Source organism: Homo sapiens, chromosome 3 (assembly GCF_000001405.40).
Source record: "Homo sapiens chromosome 3, GRCh38.p14 Primary Assembly".
Classification (NCBI taxonomy): domain Eukaryota; kingdom Metazoa; phylum Chordata; class Mammalia; order Primates; family Hominidae; genus Homo; species Homo sapiens.
Genome location: NC_000003.12, coordinates 181947404 through 181962411, shown reverse-complemented (window position 1 = coordinate 181962411; position 15008 = coordinate 181947404). Strand labels below are relative to the sequence as shown.

The 15008-nt window shown below is 39.0% G+C and overlaps 1 long non-coding RNA gene across 1 annotated transcript in view; it reads right to left on the bottom strand.

The window, feature by feature from the left end:
* Positions 1 to 10048, bottom strand: part of LINC01206 (long intergenic non-protein coding RNA 1206) — a 58315-nt gene extending 48267 nt beyond the window's left edge. The window contains exons 1-2 of the long non-coding RNA NR_104146.1: positions 9942 to 10048; positions 8675 to 8865 (exon numbers count right to left, since the gene is read on the bottom strand). This is a non-coding gene — a long non-coding RNA (long intergenic non-protein coding RNA 1206). The remainder of the gene's footprint in view (positions 1 to 8674; positions 8866 to 9941) is intronic.
* Positions 10049 to 15008: the final 4960 nt, after the last annotated feature.

Here is a 15008-nt window from a genome sequence, read left to right as displayed (position 1 = left end):
CTACCTCAGGAATGAAAGCAATAAAGGGGCTTGTCCTAAATGCAAAGGCTCCTCCACTAGTACTACACGGATCACTGTCATCGTTCTACCTTTACTATTATCTTTTCTCTGGGAACAACAGACCACAAAATGCTAAGAATTAAAGGAAAAACTTGAGATCATCTAATCCAATCCCCTCATTTTTCAAAGTACCAAAAAGTCCTTATAGCTTTAAACTCTAGGGCTCTAAAATTTTGTGATTCTATGAATTAAAACATTTAGTTTTATATGTGTTTTGCAGCATTTGCATGAAATGAACTATTTAAACAGGTTTCTAAAACCTGCTGAGATTCATATCTTAACAAAATCTTTCAGGTCTCAAAATAATTTCCATGATGCCAGGTAGCAATAGAACTGTAGGGTCAAAAGGCATGAACATCTTAAATTTTAGTAGATATTGTCAAGGGCCCTCTGAAAAAGGTTGCAACAATTTACACAGCTAAAGGCAAACTCTTGTTTTATTTTATCTGACCTGTCCTATATATGAGAGGAAATAAAAGACTATGACATCAAGTTAATAGCTAACAGGCAAAACCAGAAGTATACCAAATTTGTAAACAAAAATAAACCTCTTTATTGTCCCCATTTGCACCCCAATAGAAACTCATGTTCCAGGAAAGATGAGCAATGCCCCCAAACTGCTTTTCTGGAGAAGCAAAAGAAGGACATGGTAAATGCTGAAATTTGGAGTTACTAAAGCAACTATTGGGAGTGGGCTCTTAAACAACAAAATTTTTTTTTACTATCTATTCTATGAAAATACATGTGTGCAAAAAATATGAATAAGGAAGGTCATTGAAGCATACTGTGTAATTAAAAAAAATTGCCTACGGGTTTTTTACTGGGGACTGAGTGAAATACATTCCTGATAATGCTCTGCAGCCATCAAAAGGATAACAGTGTCAAGGAAAGATGTTTCCAGTAGATGGTTAAAAAAACGCAAGTGACAGGACAATTTGAAGACTATGACCCACTTGCCTATAAACACAACTGTGTGAATGTATGTGTGTGTGGGCACATACACGGTTACAAAGAAAACGGCATAGAGTAACACATGCAAGTTACCCTAACTGGTGACCTCTGAAGAGGGTAGCAGAGATGACGTGGGAAAGTTGCAATGAGGGGCTTTTACATTTTAACTCTATATATTTACATAAACTTTTGCATATAATTTACTTGTATAAATATTTTATATGTATTACTTGTTTATAAGTATGTATTGCTTCTGTAATTTTTTCTTGGAGTGCCATTAGATGAAATGACAAGATTCTTCCTATTCAAGAGGAAAGAAGTAGTGGGTACCAAGGAAGCTCTTGTTTTTCCTGGGAACATGGGCCAAAGATTTGCACAGGTGCTGTTGGGTCAGCACCAAACTGCTTGCTGATTAAAATGTGTTTGTGAGCTGCCATTGATCGTATAATCTAGCTCTCTATGGGATTCAAATATACCACAGCTTGACTCAATTCCATTTTATAAGATATAATTTCACCCCAAGCCAGGAATCCAGGCACCCCTAGAAAAATGTATTAGGCATCTGTGTCTGAGAGTCTGTGACATGAAGCAAATGCTACACTAGAATTAGTAGGAGATAAGGAATTATTTTTAAAAGCACATATTGATCTCAAATGGCAGAAAATCTTCCCCCAGAAGAGGACAAGATAAACCACAGCACTGTTTACAGTGGAAATTATTTCTCTTCAAAACGTTTTTTTCAGAAAACTCTCTCAGACTGAAAGCCTCACCAATGTCTATGCTTCCCCATGTCTTCTAGAACATGACACCGTTCACAGCTCCAGCAGTGGTCCACTAAGGCTGAGGAACCCAATATACTACAACAGGTAGCTTGTGTAGTGCATTAGGAAACACAAATCCAGAAGCCCTTACTCTCAATTTGGAAATCCAAAAGTGCTCTAAATGGACAGATTTTTTTTTTTTTTAAATAACTTACTTGCCTCCAGAAACTGACCAGACCTGAATCCATGTTACAAAATCCAATCTGAACTGATGTGAATTCATTTATAGTCTTTATTTATTTCAGATCTTGTAAATATTCAGGATGTTTAAAAAGATTAATATGTTCATAGTATGGAATATTAGTCATCTTGACTCCCTGAGAATATTATATTAATTCAGCATATTCACTGTTCTATCTTTCTAAAGTCAAAACACCATGAATTTTAAAACACATCTGGCCCTAAGAATTTCAAATAAAGAATGAGGACCTGTATATGCTATAATCAATGAAGGTTTGGAATAAATGAGATGCTTATTGAACAAAAGATTTCAATAAGCACTTCACCATAGAGTGTATATGAATGGCTAACAAGAGTTCCAAAAATCAGGAGCAATGTACATCTAGAGTACACACACAAACACACACTCATGTGCATACACACACACACATACACACACAGAACCTTGTTAAAGGCTAATAAATAATACTCTTATTACCTAGAGAAATAAAGTGAGTTGTTGGGAATAAAGAGAAGCAAGTGAAACTATGGCATGTCAAAACCATGGTAAATAGGAAATGCCTTTTTACTGCCTGAGAGAAATCGCCCTACAGTTGTTTGATAAAATAACACACTGAGAAGAACATTCTATTCATGGTTTAGGACATAAATATGACCTTCTCAAAGGAAATCTTTCCTAATCCTCCTAAATAAACATGATCTTACATTTTTTTCTTAGTAAAAATTTTTGAGGAGTCAATAATAAGAGCAACTTTGGTTGATTTTGTACGTACAGAATCTAGCTAAGCTGTGAAAACTACCCTGAAAAGGTAGGGAAGAACTACTCTGTAGATTTCATTCCATGGTCCTTCTGATTTCAGCCTCAGGAGGGCCTATAGAGAACTTTAGCTTCATCTAGTCTTCGAAATCATAACAATCATGAAGAAAATAGAAGAGAAATCCTTTGTGACCTTGAGGTTAAGCAAAGATTTCTTAGATATAGCCCCCAAAGCATGATCCATAAAAGAAAGAATTGACTAATTTATACCTCATCAAAATTACTTTTGTTCTTCTAATTCGCCACTAAGCAAATGAGGAAACAAGCCACAGATTGGAAGAATATATTTATAGATCATGTATCTATATATGTAACATGTATAAATGTGTTTAATGTAACGTATAAATGTGCATATATATATATATATATATATACTCAGTTTGTATTAAAATATATTAAAAACTCTCACAGAAATAAAAGACAAATGGGCCAAGCAAAAAATTGACAAAAGATTTCAATAAGCACTTCACCATAGAATGTATATGAATGGCTAACAAGCACATGAAAATGTAGCCAATATCAATAGTTATTAGGAAAATGCCTGTTTAAATGACAATGTGTTACCACTACACAACCACTAGCATATTTATAATAAAAAAGACTGGGCCGGGCATGGTGGCTCATGCCTGTAATCCCAGTACTTTGGGAGGCCAAGACAGGTGGATCACCTGAGGTCAGGAGTTCAAGACCAGCCTGGTCAACATAGCAAAACCCCACCTCTACCAAAAATACAAAAATTAGCCAGGCGTGGTGGTGAGCGCCTGGAATCCCAGCTACTTGGGAGGCTGAGGCAGGAGAATTGCTACAACCTGGGAGGCGGAGGTTGCAATGAACAGAGATCGCACTACTGCACTCCAGCCTGGGTGACAGTGTGAGACTCTGTCTCAAAAACTAAATAAACAAATTAATTAATTAATTAATTAATAAAGACTGGCCAGGTGCGGTGACTCATACCTGTATTTCCAGCACTTTGAAAGGCTGAGGCAGGAGTTTCACTTGAAGCCAAGAGTTTGAGACCAGCCTGAGCAATATAGTGAGATCCTGTCTCTCCAAAAAAAAAAACTTTTTAAATAAAAATAAAATTAGCCAGGCATGGTGACATGTGCCTGTAGTCCCAGCTACTGGGGAGGCTGAGGTATGAGGCTCCCTTGTGCCCAAGAGTTTTAGGGTGCAGTGAGCTATCATCACACCACTGCACTTCAGCCTGGGCAGCACAGAGAGATCCCATCTCCAAAAAATAAACTAAACTAAAATAAAAAAGATTGACAAGAACAAGTGTTAGTGAGTATAGAGAAACTAGAACTCACATATATTGCTGGTAGTAATGTAAAATGAAACAACCTCTTCGGAAAAGTTTGGCAGTTCTTTTTAAAAGTTAATTACATACTTACAAGCTCTCATAATTCCATTCCTAGGTACCTACCCATATAAAAACTTGTACACAAATGTTTGTAGCATCATTATTCGTAATAGGCATAAGCTGAAAATAGGCCTACACTGGAAATAATTCAAATGAACAAACAATATGTGGTACATCTCTGTAACGTAACACAGCTTAGCAATAACTGATACATCCAACAAATTGACTGAACCTCAAAAAACATTTTTCTAAGGAAAAGAAGCCAAACACAATACATAGTCTTACAAATTGTGATTCCATTTGTATGAACTTTCTAGATACGGCAAAAACTGTAGAGACAGAAATTACATTGGTAGTTGCCTAGATCTTGCATGGGGTGAACATTGACTGCAAACAGGTGTAAGGGAACTTTTTGAGGTCATGGAAATGCTCTAAAAACTGAGTTGTGGTGATAGTTGCACAAGTGTACAGACTTATTAGAAATCACCAGACTGTTTTTAAAAATCACTTGTTGTGTTCATGTTTGATACTGTCTCTTTGGAGCGACCTACAGATCAAGAAGAACATGTTTTAGGAAGTATGGGTTAAGGCAGCCTGAGGTTAATAAACAATTAATGAGTGGCTACAATGGAGTTAGTGCATGAATGCCATTCTGTGTTCATTACAGCATTGTTTGCCATAGAAAAACTAGAAATAGCCTAATGTCTATCATTAGTATCAGCTGGCAGTTTGTCCATCAACAGAGCAATAGATAAGCAAGATGAAATTCATCCATCTTATGAAAGACTATGCAGATGCAGCTCTCAGAAAGAATAAAAAGATCCCCAAGCTAAGTTGTCAATTGAAAAAAAAAAAAAGCAAAGTCACAGAACAATAATGAACAGTATAATTTAAATCTCATGTACACACTGAATTATGAAAGGCTTACCTCTGGAGAAGATTGAAACAATTAGAGTAGAAGTGAACTTTTTAGAAAGCATGTTTTTCTTTAGTGTTTTTTTTTTTTTTTAACAACAGACTTATACTGCTTCTGCAGGTTAAACAATGTTTTATAGCACTCTTCTTAGCACTTGACTAAATATCACTTTCTCAGCAATTCCTGCTGCTGGGGAAGTCATTTTCCTTAAAAGGAGACCAAAGTAAATGGCTTTGAAACATGCTTAAAATAAAAAAAAAAGACATTGTATCAGCTGGCAGTTTGATGTCCTTGTAGCTTAATAGTAATGATGATAAGGACAATATTCTTCATGCACATAGTTTTCTGCTATGACAACCCTATGAGGTAATGCTGCCACCCTTATTTTGGAAGAGACTCTGAGGCTCCAGAGGTCAAAGTCACCTGTCCAATACCACCCAAGTAGGCAGGGTGGGAGTGCGATCTGTAATTTTAAATCTGTTGCTTTTATTCAGCTGCCCCACCTCATCAAGGATGATGATAAACCTAATGGTGACCCTGAGGCACTACAGGATCCTGAAGGTCTTACGAATCATCAAAGAAAAATTTAATTAAATTTAGTGAAGTTTGGATTTTACCCATACTTAATTGTGTTTATAATCCCTGGAAAAGCGTTCAGCCACGTATAGCACACACCACCACCCTTGTTAAGAATAGTTGATTAACCAGAATGCCTCCAGCCAAGCTAAAACATGAAGAACTTACTCTAAATTGATTCCTTTCATTATTTGAGTCTTTACTTCCCTCTTAAAGAGAAGACGCCTTATCTGCCCTGCCTCACCTCCACCCTCACCTCAGAAAGCCCTCAATTCTTTTTTCCCTAAAATCTAGGTCAGGCTCCAGCCTTCCCACAGCCTGAGGGCAGAAGGGTCAGGTGAGGGTTGCCTGAGCCACTACCAGCAGAAGCCTGAGGGTGCTGTGTCCCCGCCGCTTCACTCCTACTGCGGGACACCAGTGATCTCCTGGTGACCACACCCTCACTCTGTCTGGGTGTACCCATGGCCTGTGAGTGGGAACATTCACAACAAAAGGGAAGTGAATGAGTAAATGAAAGCAAGTCTGAGTTCAGGCTGAAGGCCGGCTGCCACACAGCTTTCAATTTGGGAGGGGGCCTCTTCATGACAACACCAAACTATCCCAGCAAGAGGAATGCTTTTTTAGGGGTGAATCAACCCAGTGACACGGGTAAAAACAGACCCGAGTTTTACATGCAGAGACAAGAGATAAAGCTCTAAGACTAGGAATCAGGTAGTCATGCTGGAAATAGTGAAAGCCCATTTTGAAACCATTTTGAACCAGATAGACATGGGCTCAAAACTTAGCCTGGACTCTTACTAGCTGGGTAATTTAGGATAAGTTACTTAATCTGTATGCCTCAAGTTCTTTGTCTACAAGATTAAGGTGGGGATAGTACCTACCTTGATAGTATGACTTAAAAATAACCTATGTAAAGCGCCTAGTATCATTCCTGGCACTTAGTCACCACTGTTTCAACTGTCCCAAGAAGCACTGAAATAAATGCTAGATTACCCAGGTGCTGGGCCAGGTGTCCACCATAGAAGTCATTAACCACAACAGTGAAATGAAAGAAGCACAATTCCTACCCTTACGTTATTTCTTCTTAAAGGCTAAAACTCTATTGATAAAAATAACACATGCTCTTTGTGGGCTGGGAAGTGCAGGAAAACAAAGAAAACTATCAACTATAATCTTACAATGCAGCTGTGAATACTTTAATTTACTGAATTCAGATCTTTTATCTATACATATTCCTCTTTATGTAAGTGAAACTCATTGCTGCATGTTAAACTGCCTGTTTCACTTAACATTTTAACAACAACCAATATCCCAGGCCAATGGCTCTTTCCAGAGCTTGAAGCTTGTGGCTCTGGACTCCCTGCAATTGCAGGCAAAGCCACATGTTTTATTCAGCCCACATTCTAGAAGCTCGAAGCGGGAAGAGTTCCAGAGAAACCAGTAGTCACCCCTGTTAAATTCCCTTAACCCCATGATTTTCAGAGAGTTCAAGGTTATTGAGATGTATTTCCTTCATTGGCTCTTAATGATATCCCAGTAGGAGGAAGATATTGGGGGAGAAGGACTTCATTCCTCTCTGATCCCTGGTTCTGCATCTGACATTCAGGCAATGGATGTAAAAGAATGAAAATGTAAAGCGGGGATGGGGGATTATGTCCATGGAGCAGCTAAAGTAGAAAAGCAAAGATCCTCTCAATACCTGCAGTTCATGCAGTGACCCACCTGAAATGGGGCAGGGCCAGGAGGTCCAGGTGACAGGCTGCATACAGCTCTGAAAGCCTTGACCTCATAAGGAGGCACTCTTTCAGGCTGGATGAATCATAAGAACTCCTCTAGGAGACTGCAGCCATGAAATTCTTATGGACTTTGTAAAAAAATATATATACAATAATAATAATAAAGAGGAAGACATTAATTAAAGTTTAAAATTGATGGTATCTTTGATAAACCTGTTGCCTGGAAACCCCAGAAGCCCTTTTGGTGCTGATCTTTAGTGGGGAGTGGTAAAGTTGGGACAGTGGTAGTTGTATTTTTATTGCAAAAATAATAGCCATAGAATATAGTTAAAATAATAACCATAGAATCCCTTATCCTTTCATAATGTCTTGGACCAAACATGAAGCCAAAACCCCAAAATACTCACTTAACAACATCTCTGATATTTAGTTGCTAAAACACCAGATTCAGAAGCAGTCAAGAAGAGGGTGCTGTTGAAGGTCAGAGGTTTATAATCGGCAGCAAACTTTTAACCACCTGCTACTTCAAGGGAACTGAAGGGTTGGTGAAGAATCAGTGAGTCATGTTGCACTGAGAGCCAGCATGGATAATTTAGGGAGAAATAGACTTAACAGTGAAAGGCAGTGTGACTGGGAACAGAGTATCTGTCAAGCCATTTACCTGACCACTTACTTCTCAACCCCTTCAATTGGTGCTCACTACACTTGTCCAAAGGGCGAAGATGACATTGGGAGAAAATTATTTTCATTGCATAGTAAACTCTTCTCTCTCTCCCGAGTTGGGCAGAATAATAGAATTAGCCTGCCTAGAATATTAATTCATCAATACATGTCATACTGATTCTCAGTTTCCAGAAGGATCAGGGCAGGGATGAGTTCAAGGTTATTGAGACATATTTCTCCAACTGCTTCTTAATGATATCCCAGTGGGAGGAGGACATGGGAGGAGAAAGACTTCATTCTTCTCTGAATCCCTGGTTCTGCATCTGATCATCTATCTGAAAATTCTCTTAACCTTGTCGTTCTTTTGCGTCTTTCATTTTACAGTAACTCTGTATACTAAGATAGAACCAATTGGGAACCAAGATACAGGTATTCATCTCAGGCAGTGAAATGTACACACATGTGAGTTATACAAATAGCCACAGTGACAAAATTAGTTTACTAACTGATATCTTGCCACCTCAGAAATTTCATTCCCTTCCAGAATATAACCTCACACTGGATACAGCTCTTACTTCAAATCTGAAGACTTGCCTTTCAACTTCAGTCTTTCATTTGTTGCTGATGGTCGTTTGGATTTCTCTCTTCCGTAAAGCCCAGTTGATGATTCTCCTCAGGGGCGGCCATCTTGGAGGAACATGGTAATGAGGTAGCTGTGATCGGCACGGAGCTTCTGTATTACTCTCTCTAGGTAGTCAGGTCCACTCATAACAACTTCTAGAAAGCTAGAGAAGGCACTGAAAAACTTAAACACAATGGTCATAATAGGTGGCATACCAGAGTTATCCAATGGAGCTGACAGAATCAAGGCACACCTTAGCTCTTATGAATTTTTCTTGCCCCCAGTGTTCCTCCCTCCAGCTACCTAAATTTGGTCTTTCTTTTAAGGCTCTTCAATTAAGCCTCCTTTAAGCCCCTTCTAACCATCTTCCCAGAAACCCCTTCTCCCTCTGAATTACAAGTGCTCTTATTGTTGGCACTATTTAAAAATGCCACTGCCCTGTATTGTTGGTCATTATGTCCCATCCTTTCACATGGATTAGTCACTCTTTAAAATTTAGAAGCTTTTCTTTTGTTTCTGAAAAATCCCCCCAGCACTCAGAGCCTAATAATGTGAGGCTCACTAGGACCTCAGAGCTCCGTCGGGGAGCGCTGCCCCGCTCCTGCCCTCCAGCAGGGCCCTGTGCTATCTGTTCTTACCCCTGCCTGTATTTCCCTATCTTCTGCCTCCTAATCTCCAATCCTAACACCACTCTCCACCCAATACCCAACAGGGAAACACATTTTTTCTTCCAGGGCCCAATTCTCAAATGGCTGGGGCCCCATATGATGTTTTTTTCTGTTTTACCTCATAACTCTCTCATTCCCAAGACACACAGCCCTCTCAGAGAGCTCTCAGGGTTCAATTGGGTTCAAGTGCCTGCCATTAGAAACACCACATCTTGGCCGGGCGCAGTGGCTCACACCTGTAATCCCAGCACTTTGGGAGGCCCAGGCGGGCAGATCACATGAGGTCAGGAGTTCGAGGCCAGCCTGGTCAACATGGTGAAACCCTGTCTCTACTAAAAATTAGCCGGGCATCGTGGTGGGTGCCTGTAATCCCAGCTACTCAGGAGGCTGAGGCAGGAGAATCTTGTGAACCCGGGAGAGAGAGGTTGCAGTGAGCCAAGATGGTGCCACTGCACTCCAGCCTGGCGACAGAACAAGACTCCGTCTCAAAAAAAAAAAAAAAAGAAACACTGCATTTTTCTAGTGCACAATTCCTGCAGCTGAATCTAGTCTACAGTGCCAAACTCCTTACTCTGGGTGATTTTTCTCTCAGGAATTTGCCTTTCATCAGCGTTGCCCCAGCCCAGTCTATCGGTTACAACTGTCAAGGTCTGAATCTCAACTGCCAAGAGCGTTCAAATTCTCTCCCATGGTGCTCCTGGGCACCAGACCAATCACATGGTAAGATGTCAGTTTAGTTGTCTGGGCATTCTATGGCAGTTATATGGAGTTATATGTGGCTTTTTTACTTCCCAGAGGACAGAGAGGACCTTTTGTGGGGGGAACCTAACTCCTCAAGCCAATGAATCAGGATCTTGGTAATGAGATAATCTAAATCTCCTGACCAAGAAATGAAGACATTACTGGGAAATTAGGGTAAACAGCTTTTTAGTGAGGGCTCCAAAAGTCATGTACAAGGCAACACGGCCAAACGCTTTTTTAATAAAAAAAGTTTGCCCTTTTTTAAAACTTTGGGCTAACACTAGAGAGTTTTGTTTGAAAGGTGCATTGAGAGATTCTTATTAGCATTTTGTTGCTTGTTAATTTCTGCCTTTGAGAGAAAATGTTGGTTTTTTTTTTTTTTTTTTTTTTTTTGGCAAGAGTCTCACTCTGTCGCCCAGGCTGGGGTGCAGTGGCATGATCTCGGCTCACTGCAACCTCTGCCTAGTGGGTTCAAGTGATTCTTCTGCCTCAGCCTCCCAAGTAGCTGGGATTGCAGGCACGCACCACTACACACGGCTAATTTTTGTATTTTTAGTAGAAATGAGGTTTTGCCATATTGGCCAAGCTGGTCTCAAACTCCTGATCTCAAGAGAAATGATCCATCTGCCATGGACTCCCAAAGTGCTGAGATTACAGGTGTGAGCCACTGTGCCCAGCCAAGAGACAGTGTCAATTCTAACAATTTATGTGCATTTCTGGTAATCCACCCCTCACAGGTTGCTTTGAACAACTTGTTGTTTCCCCTAGTGATGAGCTGAAAGTTGTAACAATAACCAGTCTCCCATATGTTATTGCTGAATAATTCCTTCTTAGTGGCTTCATAATAATAATATACAAAAAAGAATCTATTGTTCTGTTTGGCTCTTTTCAGATTCCTAGTATCTCATTACGTCAGGAGAGTCTTTGTTTCCTCAAGGTAAAAAAACAAAAAACAGAAACCCACATATTACTGGCCTTTTTATTTAGCTGTCACAATACCAGCAGTGGGAGAGTCACTATGCAGAAGAAACAATGGTAACATGGATCACTTCACATTGAAATGTGGTACCTAATTATTGTTTTTAGGGGTAGTCTAATGAGTGGTACTTGTAGGTGATTAAACATATTTGGGTTTGGAAGACCAATGGGTTGAGAACCAAGCCACCCTCCTTACAACAGTATGTGGAGAGAGAGAGTTTGGGTACTGCATCTGCCTCAAGAGCCCCATCCCACCCCACCCACAACGCCTTCTCATGGCTTCCATGAGAAGCCATTTAACAATGGCTGAAGATGCCTGAGAAGCCACCCAGCCAAAAGAACCCATTCAAAAGGACATCCTGGATTTGTTGCATATCATCATGGATTTAGCTTAGCAGCCACTGAGAACAAAAAGGATTTAAATATATATATGTATAGCTGATGATCCTAAATTAAAAGGCCCTAAAAATATTAGTGTATGAGTTCCTTACCCTAGATCATATATTGTACTAAATACTGAGGACAAAGATAATAACCCTCCCCATCCCTCAGGGAACTTCAACATGCACCAAAGATAGACCCTTATATATTTAACAGAAAAGCACAATGGCGTGATAAAATTTAGGCATGAACAGATCATAATGGGAGCATGAAGATGGAAATGACTGCTTCTGCCCAGTTTAGAGACATTGAAGGAAAAGGGGGGAAAAGTCTCCGTAGAGGAAGGAGCATTTGACCTGGGCTTTTAAAGGAGGAGGAGGAGCTTGACAGATAAGAGAATGGAGCCTCTGGTAGAGGAAACACAAAATAGCAATGGGACATTAAAGTAGGGACCAAATTTGCAAAGCAGTTCTAACATGACCTGTACAACAGTAATCCTGTGTTCATGCTCCTCTATGGTTTGAGTTGCTAGATGTAAAGATAATGTATATTAAACATCTTTCTTCAATCTTGCCAGATCTTGAAAATCAAGTTTGTAACTGCATAAAAATGGTCTGTTCCCCAACTCTGTGACCTAAATCTTTTGCTCAAATAATGAATACCAATTTAAAGAGCAACTTAGAGAAAGTTGAGTGACAAAGTGAAAAGAAAGTAGTTCAGAAATGGAGTGTGCTTTCTCACAATCATTCCATTTACTCTAACTGCACAGTCTTAAGCACTAGGACTTCAAAGATGAATTAAACATGACTTCTCCCTTCTAGGAGCCCACAAATAAGTGAAGGAAAATACAATGGCTAAGAAGCAAGACATGCATTTATCTAGTGGATACTGAAGGACTGGAGCTGGTTAATGACGATGTTTTCATCAGTCTGGGGCAAAATTAGCAAACTTATTCTCAGCTTTATCCTTCTTACCCAGAATACATCCTCTACAATTGCTATGTGACATTTTACATTTCTAAAGTGACATAGGGTCTGCACATCTCAAACTGAGTTTTAATTTTTAGAAAAGTAAATGCATTTACATTTTCTACATTAAAATATCATTTCTTCTCTGATATAGTAGTAGATGGTAATTAGGTTATTTAAATGGCTTTACTAATATGTCACTTCCATGCCGTTCCCCAAAAGATATTTACCAGTTCCTATAAATGCAAAAAGTATGAAAACTTGCAGTCTACACCACACCAAACAAAATGTTTCACTAAATATTTTTAAACTGTGTTTAGTAATGATTTTGGAAATGTTTAAATTCAGCCATGAAAATAGATCCCTATTACACACAGATTTAATAGACTAGGTATTATTTATTAACAGGCTAGAAATATAATTGCAAAAACTGCCAAACCAGGATTTAAAATAATGATTGTGAGACCCACAAAGAAAAAGCAGATTATACAACATTTTGTTTACTGCATGATATGTGGCTAATATATATTTTTCACATATATTCACATATATATATACAGGAAAAGAACTGAATGGAAATATACATATACATATATGTGTGTGCATATTATATGATTTTTTCTTTTTACATATCTACATTTTGAAATTTTTATATTATGAATCTATATTGTTCTTATAAGAAAAATATGTATTTCTGGGCCAGGCACGGTGGCTCACGCCTGTAATCCCAACACTTTGGGAGGCCGAGGCAGGCGGATCACAAGGTCAGGAGATTGAGACCATCCTGGCTAACATGGTGAAACCCCGTCTCTACTAAAAATACAAAAAAAAAATTAGCCGGGCGTGGTGGCGGGCGCCTGTAGTCCTAGCTACGCAGGAGGCTGAGGCAGGAGAATGGCGTGAACCCCAGAGGCGGAAGCTTGCAGTGAGCCGATATCGCGCCACTGCACTCCAGCCTGGGCGACAGAGCGAGACTCTGTCTCAAAAAGAAAAGAAAAAAGAAAAATATGTATTTCTAAAGAAAAAGAAATATATATTGATTTTTAGAGAAAGTACTTATTTAAAAAGTACCATCAATGTTTTTTAAAATGAAAATTTTAACCCAACAATTTACCTTCAAGACTCCGCTAAGGAAACAAGAACCAGAATTAAAATGCAGAATATAAGATTTGTTAATTCACTCAGTAAGTATTTACAGAACACCCACTGTGTCAGGCACTGTGTGGGGCAAGAGGATTTCAGCTATGAAAAAAAAACAAAAAAACAAAAAAACGAAAAAACAGTCCTCTGAGAACTCAAGATTAGTGGTTCCTAATTTACAACAGGATCACCTGGAGGGTCCTTTTATTTTTTTTCTTAATAGCCACCTCCCTCTTCAGGAATCTAGGGTGGAAGAGAGAAATCTGGTTTAAAAGCTACCCAGGTAATTCTGAATCAGTCAGCCTGGAAGCAACCTTTGAGCGCCCACTAGTGAGGTGGTGCCTTGCCATGTCCTTTCCAATACTGAAAAACTGAAAACCAAGCACTTGTTGGAAAGTAAGAGAAAGTTTTAATAAAGTAAAGGAAGTTCACATAATGAAATTTTATACAGACATTAAAAATCCTATTTTGAAATACGGTTTAAGATCTAGGGAAAGTCTCATGATAAAATGGTACTGGAGAAAAACACAGGTTAGAAAGTTGTATTCAATATGATCACAATTTTATTACATAAAATGTATATGTAGAGGAAAAGAATAAAGACTAAAAAAATTGTCTAAAACATGAACACTAATACATATTATCTTACAGGAACATGTTTTTACTTTCTGTTTTCTATTTTTTCAAATTTCTTTGAATTTTTTCCAAATTCTATATAAAATAAACATGTATTACTTTAATAATCAAGAAAAAATTACTTTCCAAAATAACAAGGAATCATCATCTCTTCCCACCCCCACCCTGATGGCAAAACATGGGAAATCAGGATAACATGGCAGCAGAGACATAGGCCTCCCTGTCCAGAAAGGGCCTGGATTGTTTGCAATTCCTAGGTTTATGAGAGACAAGACTTTATGAAGTAGTTGTGATAATCCTCGTTTACAGATGAAGAGATAAAGCCTCAGAAAGCTCCATTCTCTTCTTACTCAAAAAAGAATGATTGTGAAGCCTTTAAGTCAGGCATTGTTCACAGTGTGAACAGGGCACAGTCCCTTCCCACTAGGATTCACAGACTAGTAACTAGACACTCAGGAATGTGCACAAAGCTAGAAAGTGGCAGAGCCAGGATTTGAATCCAGGTCCTTCTTGTCTCAGAGCTTATGCTCTTTTCCCTGGAGCACTGTTGGACCTAACCAGGTGTCAATATATATTAGACTATTTTAGGTCCCAGCTGGGGCCCTCAAGGCAGGGATGAAAGGAGAAGGTCATCCTGCTCCAGCTTTATCTTCAGATCTTCCTTTGTAATCACCACCTGCCATCACTGAATGCATCTATAAATCTGGAGTGACACAGGGTTTCCACCTCTCATCAGAGAGTGGGGAGAGTTTAAGGATAAAAATAAAATGATTTTCTCATAGATGCCCTTTCAT